The sequence below is a fragment of the Homo sapiens genome, chromosome 1 (assembly GCF_000001405.40).
Source record: "Homo sapiens chromosome 1, GRCh38.p14 Primary Assembly".
In the NCBI taxonomy this organism is placed as follows: Eukaryota; Metazoa; Chordata; class Mammalia; order Primates; family Hominidae; genus Homo; species Homo sapiens.
Window position 1 is genome coordinate 75573525 of NC_000001.11, and position 15470 is coordinate 75588994.

At 38.1% G+C, this 15470-nt stretch overlaps 1 protein-coding gene and 1 pseudogene across 11 annotated transcripts in view; one reads left to right on the forward strand and one right to left on the reverse strand.

Moving 5' to 3' along the window:
* Positions 1–15470, reverse strand: part of SLC44A5 (solute carrier family 44 member 5) — a 521887-nt gene that overhangs the window by 371396 nt on the left and 135021 nt on the right. The gene's annotated exons all lie outside the window — the stretch shown is intronic.
* RPL29P5 (ribosomal protein L29 pseudogene 5) lies at positions 8527–9148 on the forward strand (annotated as a pseudogene).

Sequence of the window (15470 nt, forward strand, 5' to 3'; positions counted from 1 at the left end):
GTTTATCAATGCACAGATAAATGAAAATATTCCTTAGAGTGTCTCCCTCACAAGTAATACAAAATGAATATGTTTAACCGTTGCTGGGTATCGTCCTGACTACTAAAAGTGACAATGATTATACACAGGGAGCGTAACCCAACCCCATATAAGCTCTATTGCCACAAACTATGCCGATTTATTGTATGAAACAAGTAGAAGCTACTCCAGTAAGTATCAGGTAAATTGTCACAATAATAATTTATTTAATATGGTATACAACTCAAATAAGAAAGCCAGAAAAAAAAAAGATATTTTTCCTCCTCCTATGGGAGTTTTTGTTGTTTTAAGAAACATGTACAATGTTTTGGCCACACTGAGGTTCAGAAATAGCACTTGCATCTTCTACCCGAATATATTTATGGCAAAGATAATTATGCACCCCATGCACTGATGCACTCAATGCATCAGCAAATATGGCAAATCTGAAGACTGTCAGCGAAAGTCTCAACTTCTTGTAGTCTCAGCTGAATAACCTTCATGAGGTAGCATTTGGAAAAATATTTTTTTAAAAAGTGAAGAAAGCAAAATGCATCAAAGTCAACACCTTGAATTGCACCTGGAAGCAAATTGTGGAACTAGAGGACAAAAATATAATGTTCCCCCTGTGGCTTATCCTATTAAGAAATAAGCCTTCACTCATTTTCTGAGTTGCATTTTCAAAAGCTGCTACAAGTAGACTGCATTGCAGTAATATAGTTTTAAGAAAGCAATGTGGACAGAGAGTCCACATTGATATTATTTAGTAAATGATCTAAACCATGCTATTTGGCTTTGGTGCACCTGACTTAAGCAAGAATGACCTAATAGCAAATCATTAACTGTCACTAAATTTGGGATGTTATCTTCTGTGACACCTAAAATTCATGCAGTTTTAAACAGATACATCTTGATAAAATATTGACAATAATAAATATCTCTGATACTTAACTATAAGCCAGCAGTGCTGATAAAGCAAACTGCCTAATGATATAAAAGCAGAAGCAGGTCTGGCTCTTAGGCAAAACTGTGGAGCAAGCAGCTCTCAGCGACCCACCTCATTTGGAGCTCCACTCCTACCAGCACCCTATAGACCAAGCCCTGCCCTCTACAGTATCACCCAGGTATTATTTCTACTTTACCATATACATCTCTCCTATATGTGATTCTGTCCTCTCTTTGGTCCAGTCATTAGAAGTATTAAGACCATATTGTGGGAATCTAAGTAATATGAGAAAATTATTTCAACAATAAAAGGTACATAAGGGAGAAGACTGAGTATCCATTTATGGACTTTTGTATGCAACATGCTTAAGAACTAACAGGAGTAAAACACAAAAGGGCTGGCCAGGTCAGCTTGGTCTGTAAGGGAATAACAGCAGTACACATTCTACTGGGAAAATAAACAAGGACAATGAAGAATGAGAGAAGCCTTAGGATGACTCTGGAAATCAAGGTCCAGTGAAGAGGGGTACTATCACTCCTATTTTCTAGAGGAAACATATAGGATATCAAAATGCTTACTAAAGTTGAGTCAAGCAGAAAACCCAAAAATCATTTTCTTTCCCTAAAATGACTTAATTTCTAGATGCTCCACATTTTTAATAGATAATCAAGTTTCTTAACTCTGTCACACATACTTTCGATGCAGCCTAATATTAAATTCCCTCAACTGATTATATTGTTTCACCAGATGCTTCCCCCACATGTGTCATTATTTGTAAGTATGAACTAAAATGATTTCAGACTTTAACACTTTAGTTTAATCATGGGGTAATACAGGGTACAATGTAGAAAGGAAAAAATTTAGCATTTTATAATGTACTTATTCTGATGGGACCAACCACCAAGTGACAAATGAATCATATTATTGACTATGCACTACATTTGTATTGATTTGGTGAATGTATTGCTGAATAGTTAATGGTATGTCAGCCATTCACTTACAAATACATATTTCTAAGGCTGTCATACCAAGATATAAAATATTTCCTAGGAGCTGGTAGGAAATTTAGCGCAGATCATGCATAATTCTTTAAAAACTGTGTTTTTTTAACTCCACAATTGTTTGGACAAGTTATTTAGAGTAGTCCACACTTACACTATCCTACTTAATACAGAGGGTATATATTTCTATTGTAATAACTTGTTTTGCTGAGTTATATAGTGCACAATGCAACCCAAAAAATCTGAGCTGACCTTGTGTGGCTAGATTAATTGACAAAAGAATACCTAAACAGCTGCTGTGTGGTGAGTTAACCATAAGCACATTGGACAAAATGGAAATGTAGGATACACGAAGCCTGAACAATGTCATTAACTATGGACTCCTAGGAAAGTAGAATGTTGGGTCAACCAACATTCAGAAAGTAACCAGGAATGGCAAGAACTTTTTGAAAGCTAAAATGTTGGAGAGCTTGTGACTAAGAGGCATAAATACAAACAGCACCAGAAATGTAGTAGCCAAAATGAGAACGGTTGTCACAAGCTATTAAGAGCTATGTAGTACAGAAAACTGCCACCCTAGCTAGACAGATGTGAAAAACAGCTCTCTAGAGTAAAGGTGGGGGCGGGGAGTGGGAGAGAGAGAGAGAAATAGAGATGAATGGGATGTCTATTACAGTAAAATAAAAATATTTTTATAAAAGAAATAGAGATGAGAGATAGATAGAGATAGATGGAGAAATGAAGATGGAGATGAAGTTGGAGATGGAGATAGAGATAGAGACAGAGAGAAACCAAAATACTTAAGGTTTTATAAATGTTCCTTTTTTTTTTTCTTTGCTTTTTGAGAGGAAGTCTTGCTCTTTTGCCCAGGCTGGAGTGCAATGGCGCGATCTCCACTCACTGCAAGCTCCACCTCCCGGGTTCGCACCATTCTCCTGCCTCAGCCTCCGAGTAGCTGGGACTACAGGCGCCCGCCACCACGCCCGGCTAATTTTTTTGTATTTTTTTTTAGTAGAGACGGGGTTTCACCGTGTTAGCCAGGATGGTCTCGATCTCCTGACCTCGTGATCCGTCCACTGTGGCCTCCCAAACTGCTGGGATTACAGGCGTTGAGCCACCGCACCTGGCCTAAATGTTCCTTTAAAAAGAGCCATTTTAATCTAAGCTATCGCAAGTCCTAGATCTGATGGGTGGTAGAGTTTTCCATATTATAAGTCTATATGATTCAACACAACTATACTCATTTCTGAAATCCTTAGACGCAGATCTCATGGTGCTTAGAAGCAGGGGCTGTGATGTCAGACTGCCCAGGCTTGAATGCTGCCTCTGTTACTTGCTGATGAATAAAGAGAAGTTAACCTTTCTAAACTGTTACTTTGTTTGCACAATCAGGACAATACTGGGAATTACCTCACAGAGGTGTAGTGAAGATTTACCTCTTCTTGGATGTCTAATGGGCATCTCAAATCCAAAATGTCCAAAACTGAATTCTTGATCTTCCTTTCCTGAACCTGTTTCTTCCACTGTCTTCCCAATGCTTTTCCCATGATTCAGAGCAAAGCCCTGCATCTCATTGACTCTTCTCTTTCAGACACCATATCCTGTTGGCTCTATCTTCAAAATATATCCAGAATTCAAAACTTCTCTCCACACTCCACCCCTACCCTGATCCAAGTACCATAATCCTTGCTTGGGCTATTTCAACAGCATCCTACTTGACCTCCTCTTCTAACTCTTGCCCCCACAGTCTATTCTCAACATAGTAGTTAGAGGAATCCTGTTAAAATGTCTTTTCTCAAACCATTCATTAACTTTGCATATTTCTCAGAATAAAAGCCCAAGTCTACAAAATCAGGCCCTTTATTAACTTTCTGACCTCATCTCTGGTTGCTCTCCTCCTGGCCATGAGCATCTCTGCTTCTGAAACAAACATGCGAAGCATGCTCCCGCCTCAGAGCCTTCGCACTTATTCCCTCTTTCTGGGCCTTTCTTCTTCCAGACATCCAGATGTCTTTACCAGCGATTTCAGATCTTTGCTCAAATGTCACAGTCTCGGTGAGCCCTTCCCTAAATACCTTCTTAAAATGAAAGACCACCACATTCATACATCATACTCCCCTTCTTCCGTTTATGCCTTTATTTCCCCTCATAAAACTCACCACCATATAACACACTATATGTTTTATTTATTAATTTTAATTATTTTGTGTCTTCTCCCCCTAAAATATAAATTCTCTGAGAGCAGAGCTACTTCTCTGTTTGATTCCTCATTGTATATCCCCATATCCTATTGTGTACCTATTCTGGGACATTACTGAGTTCAATAAGTTAATAAGTACAAAACACCTAAAAATGTGTGACACATACTAAGTGTACAATAAATGTTAGTTGTTGTTTACTCAGGATATTCATTTATGTAATTTCTCCTAGTTTTTAAGTCTTCCCAATATATACTGTGATTATAAATTACATTAGCTTCAAAACAGTTTGTTTCTTAATGTTTCACTTTTGTCTTTAATATGAAATTAATCTAACATTAAAAACTCATGACTATCAAGCTCCAAAGACATTCTCTAAAGATGATCTGCTAAAAACTAGTTTTTAATAGCTTTTAAATAAATATTTTATACTCCTTAAACAATCCATAAATACAGTTTCTATATTTTTCCCAAGTAAATTTTGAGTAAGAAGAATTATAAAAATTAGTGATATATAATTTATATATGGTTCTGTATTCATTTTTTATGATTCCTTAAAAGTTTCAAGCTAATTGAGTTTAAATAAATAGTTAAAATAATTTCACTCAAGCTCTGTGATTAATAACTGAAATAGCACAAAAAAACATCTAACACACCAATATTTTTCTCTTGTCATTCTCTTTACCTTCTTAAATTCCAAAGATAGACAAATAGATGATTGATAGAGATAGACAGATGATTGATAGATAGATAGATAGACATAAAATAGAATACTATTCAGTCTTATAAAAAGAAGGAAATCCTAATAAAACTGAAGTGCAGTGTGCTAAGTGAAGTAAGCCCAGCATAGAAAAACAAATATTGTGACCTCATTTATATGTGGAATCTAAAACAGTCAAATTTGCAGAAACAGAGCATAGAATGGTGGTTGACAGGGGCTGTGGGGGCAGGTGCAGGGATGGGGAGATGTTGGTCAAAGGGTGCAAAGTTTCAGTTAGACAGGATAAACAAGTTCCAGAGCTTTATTGTACAACATAGTAAAACATAGTTAATAATAATGTATTGATACTAGAAAATTGCTGATATAGTAGATCTTAAATACTTTCACCACAAACAATATGTGAGGTGACAGATATGTTATCAGGCTTGATTTAATCATTTTTCAATGGATATATATATAAAATATGCTGTACACTGAAAATACATACAATTTTTATTTGTCACTTACAAAATCATCTGTATTGCTAAATTCAGCATTTAAAATATGAAAATATTAGCATACATAATCTACCATATGTACTAAAATGGAACATATATTATAAATATTCAAATCAATAATAGTAATATGGATTAAAAGCTGGTATCTTTGAGTTCTAAATGCTCATTATTAACCTAATAATTAAAATCCACAGTTTAAATTGCTGAAAGTAGAGGTTTCAGTCAGGAAATGAACTCTGAACTATGACCATTAATTAAACAGGAAAAGGAGTTAGTTATAATCTGGGAAAATGTGCCATTTGGATGACTACTGAAGGCATTGCAGAATTAAAGGAAATGCCTTTGACTAATCAGCTGAACTTGACCAGAACACATAAATTTAAGTCAGTTATCTGGGCATGGAGGCAAACATCTATAGTCCCAGCTACTTGGGAGACTGATGCAGGAGGATCGCTTGAACTGAGGAATTCAAGGCTGCAGTGAGCTGTGATCACACGACTGCACTCCAACCTGTGTGACAGAGCAAGACTGTCTCCATAAATAAATAAGTAAATAAATAAACAAAATGTAAGTCAGGAGCTTAGAATAAGTTATAGGTCCCTAAGCAAAATATTTCAAGAGGACTCTCATTCACTTCCCTACACTAATATATTCCTTTTCAGTATGAATTCTAAATGGATAGCCTTTTTGCTTGAACCCAATGCATTTAAAAGACCCCTTTCCTACTAATTACACCTCTTGCAGGAGTCATATGAAATATATTAAGATCTAGGAATGTTTTTGAATTGATAATGAAAAAAGGTTTCTCAATAGATAAGGTTTAGAGAAGACAGAATATATAGAAGAACAAATCTGAAATGATTCTATAGATTTTCCTTTAACAAAGAGAGAGGATTTGGAGAAGACAAAATTCAACTATCTACACACACACACACACAAACTAGTCAGCCTATCTGAACCTGCCAACCAGGAGATTTTTTAAAAAAGTAATTCAGGAAGATAACACAAATGGTCAGCATTTAAGATCTCAGATCAAATTTTTGGATGTTTTTAATAATTCAGCATGTAAGGAGCAAGCATAGTATTTTCCATGCATATTTTTACTAGTTGGAAATTGTTAACTATCCAGTGAGCATGTCTCTGTGGAAGGACTCACACTGCATAAAATCTATTGATAAAATATTAACAGCAGAGAGTCTTTCATTTAAGCACTTCTCAAAATAAAAAATAAAAAAAGACTACCTACAGCATAGAATAAAAATATTATATTTTTAGCATCAAAAGATAGAAATCTAATTCCCAGATATAATATTAGTTACAAATAAACAAAAAATAAAAATAAAAAAGCAAAACTTTAAGTTGTAGGATTTACGAACTTAGCCAAGCAGTAAAACATGCAGCATTCTGAAAAATGAATTACCACGGGGTGGGTGTCCCATATGACTAGCTCTAAAATGTGTGGTTTGAGAGTCAGGTGCAAATATTTGTGCTGTCTTATGTTGTCTCAACCACAAGGTCCATAGCTGCTTGTTCATGGTAGGAAGATAAACTAAGTACCACATACAAACAAGTTTGTTAGCAGAAAGGGCCATAACACTCCAAAGTTGGTTCTTCTGAAGAATTCATAGGAACAAAACAGAATAATGAGTTAGGGCCCAGCGCAGTGGCTCACACCTGTAATCCCAGCACTTTAGGGGCTGAGGAGGGTGGATCACTTGAGACCAGGAGTTCGAGACCAGCCTGGCCAACATGGCACAACCCTGTCTCTGCTAAAAATACAAAAATTAGCTGGACATGGTGGCCACACCTGTAGTCCCAGCTACTCAGAAGGCTGAGGCAGGAGAATCAGTAGAACCTGGGAGGCAGAGGTCGCAGTGAGCTGAGATCAAGCCACTGCACTCCAGCCTGAGCAACAGAGCAAGACTCTGTCTCAAAAAAAAAAACAAAGAAAAAGAAAAACAAAGAAAGGAAAGGAAAGAGGGCCCATATGTTTAGCATAATGCACAGGGAATATTTTTTTAAAAAATCAAAACCTACAAGATGGAATTAGTGCCTGTGGAGAAGAAAGATACTTTCTTTCTCAGATACCTACTATCCATAAAGCCTAGCTATAAACACAAGTCAGAAAGTCAGAAATATCTTAAGGCAATAAAATTTTTAAAAACAAATTATGTTACTCCATTTTGTCCATTTAAAAGGCAGACAAGCCAGACCCTGAAGGCTGATGAAAATAGCCAAATTCAACATATAATGACATCAATGATTTAATCCTTTCATTACCAAGAGTATCAAAGACCATTCACATTAGTAGACAAAATCTTAAAAAACTGGAGGTGGACCTAGAATTTATATTATACTATATGATCAAGCTGTTTCCAAAAACCAAAGCTCATTGTCTAAAAATTGAACATGGAGCCTGTTAAAATTGTTCCTTGTGAGTCTTGGTTGAAAGAAATGGTGGAGGTAACTAAATGAACTGGCTTATACTCAAAAGGCTTAAGCCATTATGGTCCACTAGGTAAAATATATAAAAATGCCAAATAGTTAATGTCACTATTAGGACCAACAATTGTTGGTTAAAGCTGCATTGTCAGCAATGAAGAATGTAATTTTAGAAATATAATGAAAACTCTTCTATGATAATTCATAAAAATAATGTATATGGAATAAGATGATGTGGGAAAGGGGTACAGTATTCCAAAATAACACTTGATCCCAGGTAGTACTGTTTGATATTTCTTCCCACAAATCCTCAGTGTTGGAGGTGGGGCCTAATGGGAAGTGTCTGGGTCATGGCTGTAGATCCTTCATGAATGACTTGGTGCTGTCATCACAGAAATCAGTGAATCCTCACTCTTAATTCCCTTGAGAACTGTTTTTAAAAGAGCCTAGCACCTGCCTCTCCCCTCTCTCTTGCTTCCTATTTCACCATGTGATTTCTGAACACAGCAGCTCCTCTTTGCTTTCCACTGTGACTGGAGGCAGTCTGAGTCCTCGCCAAAAACAGAGGCTGATGCCATGCTTCTTGTACAGCCTGCTGTGAGCCAGGTAAACCTCTTTCTTTAAAAATTACCCAGCCTCGGGTGTTCTTTTACAGTAATGCAAACAGACCAAGATATCCAGTTATATACAAAAGGATACTGAGCTTTCACTTCCAGGCGCTTCAGGAGCCACGGGTTACAGTGCAGACATGGCCAAGTCCAAGAACCACACCACACACAACTGGTCCCGAATATGGCACAGAAATTGCCTCAAGAAACCCCAATCACAAAGATACGAATCTCTTAAGGGGTGGACCCCAAGTTCCTGAGGAACATGCGCTTTGCCAAGAAGCACAACAAGAAGGGCCTAAAGAAGATGCAGGCCAACAATGCCAAGGCCATGAGTGCACGTGCAAAGGCTATCAAGGCCCTGGTAAAGCCCAAGGAAGTTAAGCCCAAGATCCCAAAGGGTGTCAGCCACAAGCTCCATCGACTTGCCCACATTGCCCACTCCAAGCTTGGGAAGCATGATCATGCCCACATTGCCAAAGGGCTCAGGCTGTGTGGGCCAAAGGCCAAGACCAAGGATCAAACCAAGGCCCAGCCTGCAGCTCCAGCTTCAATTCCAGCTCAGGCTCCCAAAGGCGCCCAGGCCACTACAAAGGGTTCAAAGTAGAGATCTCCATCTGCCAATATGAGGACAGAAGGACTGGTGTGACCCGCCCTGCACTGCCGTCTGCATAGGGCTGGTGTCCTCCTGTGCTATTTGCACAAATAAATCTGAGGGTAACACTCCTCCCCTACCCCCACAAAAAAGTATAGATTTTTAAAGTCTGAAGGTATCAAGGAAACTTTCTAATTTAGCCTCTTATTTAAATGAAGCCTTTCACTACAGTGATTTTCTAAGTTTATAATTCAGAAAACAGAATCCTCTCCCATCATTTCCTTTTCTCTACAATTTATCTGCTAAGGAATCTGGGCCCTTCATTATTAATTATTGCATGAGCTGGACTCAGTAGCAATCAGGAAACAGCTTCATTTTTCTCCCATCACTGCATTCAGACATTCTGTCAGGTCTCCCCTCCTCTAGCCTTGACAGTGTCTCTTTCAGATTTCTTTTCATGATAACAATTTTGTCATCCAGTATTAAAAAGTTCAGTCTTGTCTAACTCAAAGCATTAATCTAATACTTGATTTGGAACGTCCCCTCCTGTCAGCTCAGGAATGACTCAGTGTGAGGGGAAGAGAAGCTGTGAGAAGACATAGGGGAGGACTCTGTTCTGGTTTTTTATACTCCTTTCTTCTCTCCCTATCCCACCCTCAACCTTGCCCTTTCCATTTCTGAATCCTGGGAGATGGCAGGGATCAAAAAAGGAGCTAATTTATAACTCTCATTTGACTATCAGATGCCCTCTGTCATAGCAGCCTTCCAAATATTGGATCTCATTAAGTACATTTGCAGATTCTTGGGAGACTCTCAACAAGTTCCTATGCCCTACATGTTTCCTACAATAGACAATGAGCTCTTTATCTGACCGCTCAGAATCACCTGCATCCCTCAGCTTTGCCCCAGTAGACAGCCCTCTTAGGGTCCTCTTGACTCACAGGAAGTACAATGAACGTGCAGCTTGACAAACTGCTGACTCCTTCCTTGTTGCCCCACAGTCAAGGGCAGCTCTACTTTGTTTTCTATCCTTTGTCTTTTCCAGAAAAGAAGCAGAGACCTATTATTATCACACTTTGCTTCAAATTATGGAGAGTCACATGTCAGTTTCTCTCAAGAAAAAACTCACTTTCTGCTCAGCTAGATGCAAAGGGAAACCCCACTAATTTTTGCAATTTGGCAAACATCCAGCCAGGGACAGAGATGACACTCTACCATTTTGTAGATGACCATAACCTCTATATGCAGTACTCTTGGGGCTTCCCAACATGTGATTTGGTGGTGAGGGAAGCATCTGCCTCCCTTCCCTCTAAAAAAAGTCTGAATAGGCCAAAGGCAGATCACAGACCAGTTGGTGGTCCGGCCAATTTTCAGTAATTCCTATGGGGCTGGGTCAGCACCAATCTCTGAAGTATGGAGGAGATTGTCACTCAATGTCCCAAGCTTTGAGGTCTCAAATTCTAAGACAAGAGGACATCTCCCATTCCACATGTTCTTATAGATTCAAAGTGGCTTTTTAATAAAGTGTCTTAAATGAAAATTTATCTTTCTGAATTGCCACCCAACTAACTGGGGAGGAGAGATCCAAAGTAAAGGGCTTAAGGGCCTCACTCCAAATGGCTCTGTCCCTTTACAGTGAAACTGTCCTTTTGAGCTTCTGTAGTCTAGTCTATGTGGAAATGGTGTAAGGCAAAGGTAATTAAAAGGTTCATGAAAGTAAGAGCAGTGCAGCACTATCCTAACTGCATTCTTCCTGGTGTGAATAAATTAATCTGTTTCAGTCACTGCACTGGCAAACTAGTCTAGGTACCGTATCACATTAGAATATAAAAACCCTTACACAGTAAAAGTGGTAAATGTATTCTGAATTAACAATGAATTAGGACACTGTCAGTATTTCTACTAGCTAATTAGAAAAGCTAGAGTCCTCATATTTGGAAGACGGATTCACTGACACTTTCTTTAGGATTTAGGAACATAAAATCAAGCCATAAATACTGTGTTTGCTTTTGGGGGTTTTGTGGGGGTTTTTTTGGGATTTTTGTTTGTTTAGTATTTTTGAGACTGAGTTTCGCTCTGTCACCCAGGCTGGAGTGCAGTGGTGAGATCTCAGTTCACTGCAAGTTCAAGCGATTCTCATGCCTCAGCATTCCAGTTCAAGCGATTCTCATGCCTCAGCCTCCCAAGTAGCATGTGCCACAATGCCTGGCTAATTTTTGTGTTTTCAGTAGAGAAGGGGTTTCACCACGTTGTCCAGGCTGGTCTTGGATTCCTGGGCTCAAGCAATCCACCTACCTCAGCCTCCCAAAGTGCTGGGATTACAGGTGTGAGCCACCATGCCCAGTGGGGTTTTTACAATTTCTAAGTAAATTTAATGATCAGGAAGATAATTAATCCTGCAAATAACACATAACTTATCTTTCTTATTCTAATTTTATACATAAATATGTGATTAAGTAGTGGTTCAAAAAAGCTAAACTCCATAGCCAGAAAGTCAGAAAGCCTGGTTCCACACTCAACCCTGGGACTTCCTGGTTGTATAATTTTGGACAAATCACTTCATCTCACTCAGCCTTGGTTTTCTAATTTGTAAAACAGCAATGATTTAAGAAAATTTGAAAGGTTGTTATGTTTTGTAAAGGGACTGCAAATCACTTTGTAAATATTAGTTTTCTCTCTCTTTAAAAACACACTTTTTTCTGGTAGATCACATAAACTGAATTTATCTGAATAATTAGGAGCATAGTCTTTAAAGTCAGACAGACTCATTAATCATCCAATGCCAGTAAGTATTTGCTGAATAAATAAATGGAATACTTTTTCAGTTTTATACTATATCAAAAACCATAGTCAAATTATGCATCCTCTCGAAGCCTCAATATTCATGTATGTAAAATATACAAAAAGAATACCCACTTCAGTGATTCTCAATCACAGTACATATTAAAAACCAAACAGTTTCTGATTCAGTAGGTCTGAGGCAAGACCTGGACAATTGCATTTAAACTTCATGAGTATTTGGAAACTGGCCCACAGCTGAGAACCACTATGCTCCCTCTGAGGGCTGTTGTGAGGATTAAATGAGACAATGTCTGAAGGCATTTCATGTATTAGCACATGTTTAATACATATAAATATATAGATTATACCCTTCTTTTTTAACACCATTTTATACATATTTATTCAGTAAATTATATAATACATTTAAGAATTAATAAGTGAATTATTAAAGCATTGGTTCTCAAACTTCAGCATGATTCTAATGGGGGACTCATAAAATACAAATTGACAGACCCCACCCTCAGAGCTTCTTCTGACTCAGTAGCTCTGAGAGGAAGTTCAAGAATTGCCTTTCCAACAAGTTCCCAAGTGATGCTGCTCCAGGGATGACACTTTGAGAACCACTACCTAACAAAAACTTTAATCATATTTGTGATGGCTCATTTTACAGGTCAACTTGACTGGTCCACAGAGTGCCCAGACACTTGGTTAAACATTATTCTGGATGTATCTATGAGGGTGTTTCTGGATGAGATTAACATTCAAATCTGTAGCCAAAGTTAAGCAGATTGTCCTGCCTAATATGGGTGGGCATCATCCAATCCTTTAGAGGCCTGAATAGAACAAAAAGGAGAAGTAAGGGAGAATCTGCTTTCTCTGCTTGTTTTTGAGCTGGGATGTCAGTCTTCTGCATTTAGACTGTAACTATACCACCAGCCTCTCTTCTGGGTCTCCAATTTGCAGACAGTAGATAGGGGATTTCTCAGTCTCCAAAACAGAAGAGCCAATGCCTTATAAATCTCTTTCTGTATGTATATATGTGTGTGTGTGTGTGTTTGTGTGTATCTGCCTGTGTGTGTCCTACTGATTCTGTTTCTCTGGCGAACCCTAATACAATATTTAAGAAATTATATATATATATATAAAATTTAAAATGACAGGCAGAAAATACAATTTCAAAATGCTATATTTTAGATGTCTGGAGTTTGATTTTTTTTTTTGTTTGGTGACTTGAAATGTAGTCTCATATGATTACTCCTTTCTCAACAAGGCCTTAACTGACACCTGTCTTCTAGGATGAATGGGAAGACTACACCTTTGCAGGTCCACTATACCATATATTGACTTAAGATATATGATTGCACTTAACAGCCTTGAATTGAAATGGACTAATAGGGCATTACTTGCTATCTTTAATAGAAAGCAAAGTCCTTGAAGGCAGAAATCAGATCATAGTTATTATCTATGTACCCCAAGGGCCTAGCACGGTGCCTGCAGACAGTCAATAAAATGCTTAGTGAATGCATGAAATAGAGTAAATTACTCCACTCAATTTGGAATAGAGTAAGTTTTGTGATTTTTTTTTTAAGTCTTATGATAACTCCATGGGAAACTCTAGACGTAGATAGAGTTATCTCTCAGCTCTTTTATCAAAGCAGTGGTTCTCAAAATGCAGAGCTGGGGCAGGCTGGTGCCCCCTAGAAGACATTTGGCTATGTCAGAGACATTTTTGTATGTCACAACTGAAGAGGGTCCTAAAAACATCTAGTGAATGAAAGTCAAGGATGCTGCTAAACATCCTACAATGCCCAGGACAGCCACCGACAACAAAATGTTCGGCCTAAAATGTCAAAGGTGTCTAGGTTGGGAAATTCAGCATTAGAGGAATGCAGCTGAGCTAATTAAGCAAGGGTCCTAACCCTTCTCCCATCACCCTCCTAAACAAAATTTGGCCTTAAATAAAAGCATATCAATAGCAGCAACTTACACATGTATAACAATTTGTTTTACAGATAACATTTTGCAACCTGAGGCTCAAGGTCACAAGGGCTCAAGTTAGTGGTTGATTAGCAGTAAAATGTATTCTTACCCTGAGCCAAACACTCTTAAACACTTTCTTCTTAACTCCTGGCCAGTTCATTCATCATTTAATGTGAACCTCGTCAGTAGCTACTTAATCACTGCTTTCTCATGTTACCTCCATTTCTGAGCCTAGACAAGATCACCTGTGTCAAGAGATACCTTTCCTCCAGTTGTTGTTTTGGTAATAAATTTTTTTGATTTTCTTTAATTCAGTTATGTGGCTTAGCTCTTTTTCACATTAGGCCTCTTTCAAAGTATATATTAAGTCTAATATTGGTTTAAAACATTTTGCAATAAAGCCTGATTGAAAGATAATGAAATGGCAACTTTCACAGTCAAGAGCAGGACAAACAACCAGTTGTGACCTTCCCTTTTTCCTTTTCAGTTGGGCCCTAAATTGCATTCCAAAGACCCTGCTCCTGGAACAGCCTTCTGCAATCAACACAACCTCTTGGAGGTTTTACTGCGTCTGGCACTCGCAGGTTCCCCTGCTCTCACTCTCTCTCTCTCTGTTTCCTTGCTGTGAAAAACGTGTTGACCATCAGGCATATGGCAGAATAATTGGATTTCAGGCAAGCCAATGTGAGAAACCAGAAGGCAAATCTGGTCATTTGTGGGTATACACAGGACAAAGAAAAAGGAGTGTAGAGAAACAGAGGCTGTCCTGGAGGTAAGCTGAGGCTGAAAGTAGTTTACTCGATAAAGCCCTGTTGCTGTAAGACAAAGAAAACTTTGACTATGTTGCAGCACTCTCGTATCCAAAAAAGTGGAGTTAGGAGAAGGAAAGAAAGAAGGGATGAAGGAAGGAAGGAGGGAGGGAGGGAAGGAAGGAGTGAAGGAGGGAAGGAGGGGGGAGGAAGGGAGGTGGGGAGGAAGGTGACAGGGAGAAAGAAAGGGATGGAGTAAAGAAGGGGAAATGGAATGAGCATTTATTGAATACCCACTATATATAACTTTGCTATTTGTTATGTCATTTAATCCTCACCATAGTCTGTAAGGTAGGTAATATAGTCTCCATTTTTTTCAGATAAGGAGAGTGAAGTTGAAAGGTTAAGTCATGTGCCCAAAATCACAGAGCTGAGATTGGAACACATATCTGCCCGATCCGAAAGTTCGGAAAAAAAAAGAAAATGGTTAGGTTCTGGGAAAATGTGGGGTTTTTTCTCCCCATCCCCAGAGATAGATGTTTTTTAAAATTTTTTAAAACATATTAAGAAAAATCATTTGGGGAACATTGTACCCGGCATGATAGAAAACTGAATTGAGATATGGGATTGTTCTTCCTGAAATAAAGATATCTGGTTCCTATACTTACTTCATACTGGTTTTTTTAAAAAGCAGATAATATTTTTTACATTTATTTCTTCCACAAATAATTGGAAACACTAAGTGAAAGGCACTGTGCTAGTCACCATTGAAGGTATAACTGTGAACAAGGCATGAAATTTACAGTCTAGTAGAGAAGAAAAGTAAACATGCAATTATGATAGAGTTTGATAAATATTATAACAAGTGAAACCTCAGGGAGTTATGGGAACAAGTTAATATTGACAAAGAGAAATGCCAGAGTTTCAGGTTGAG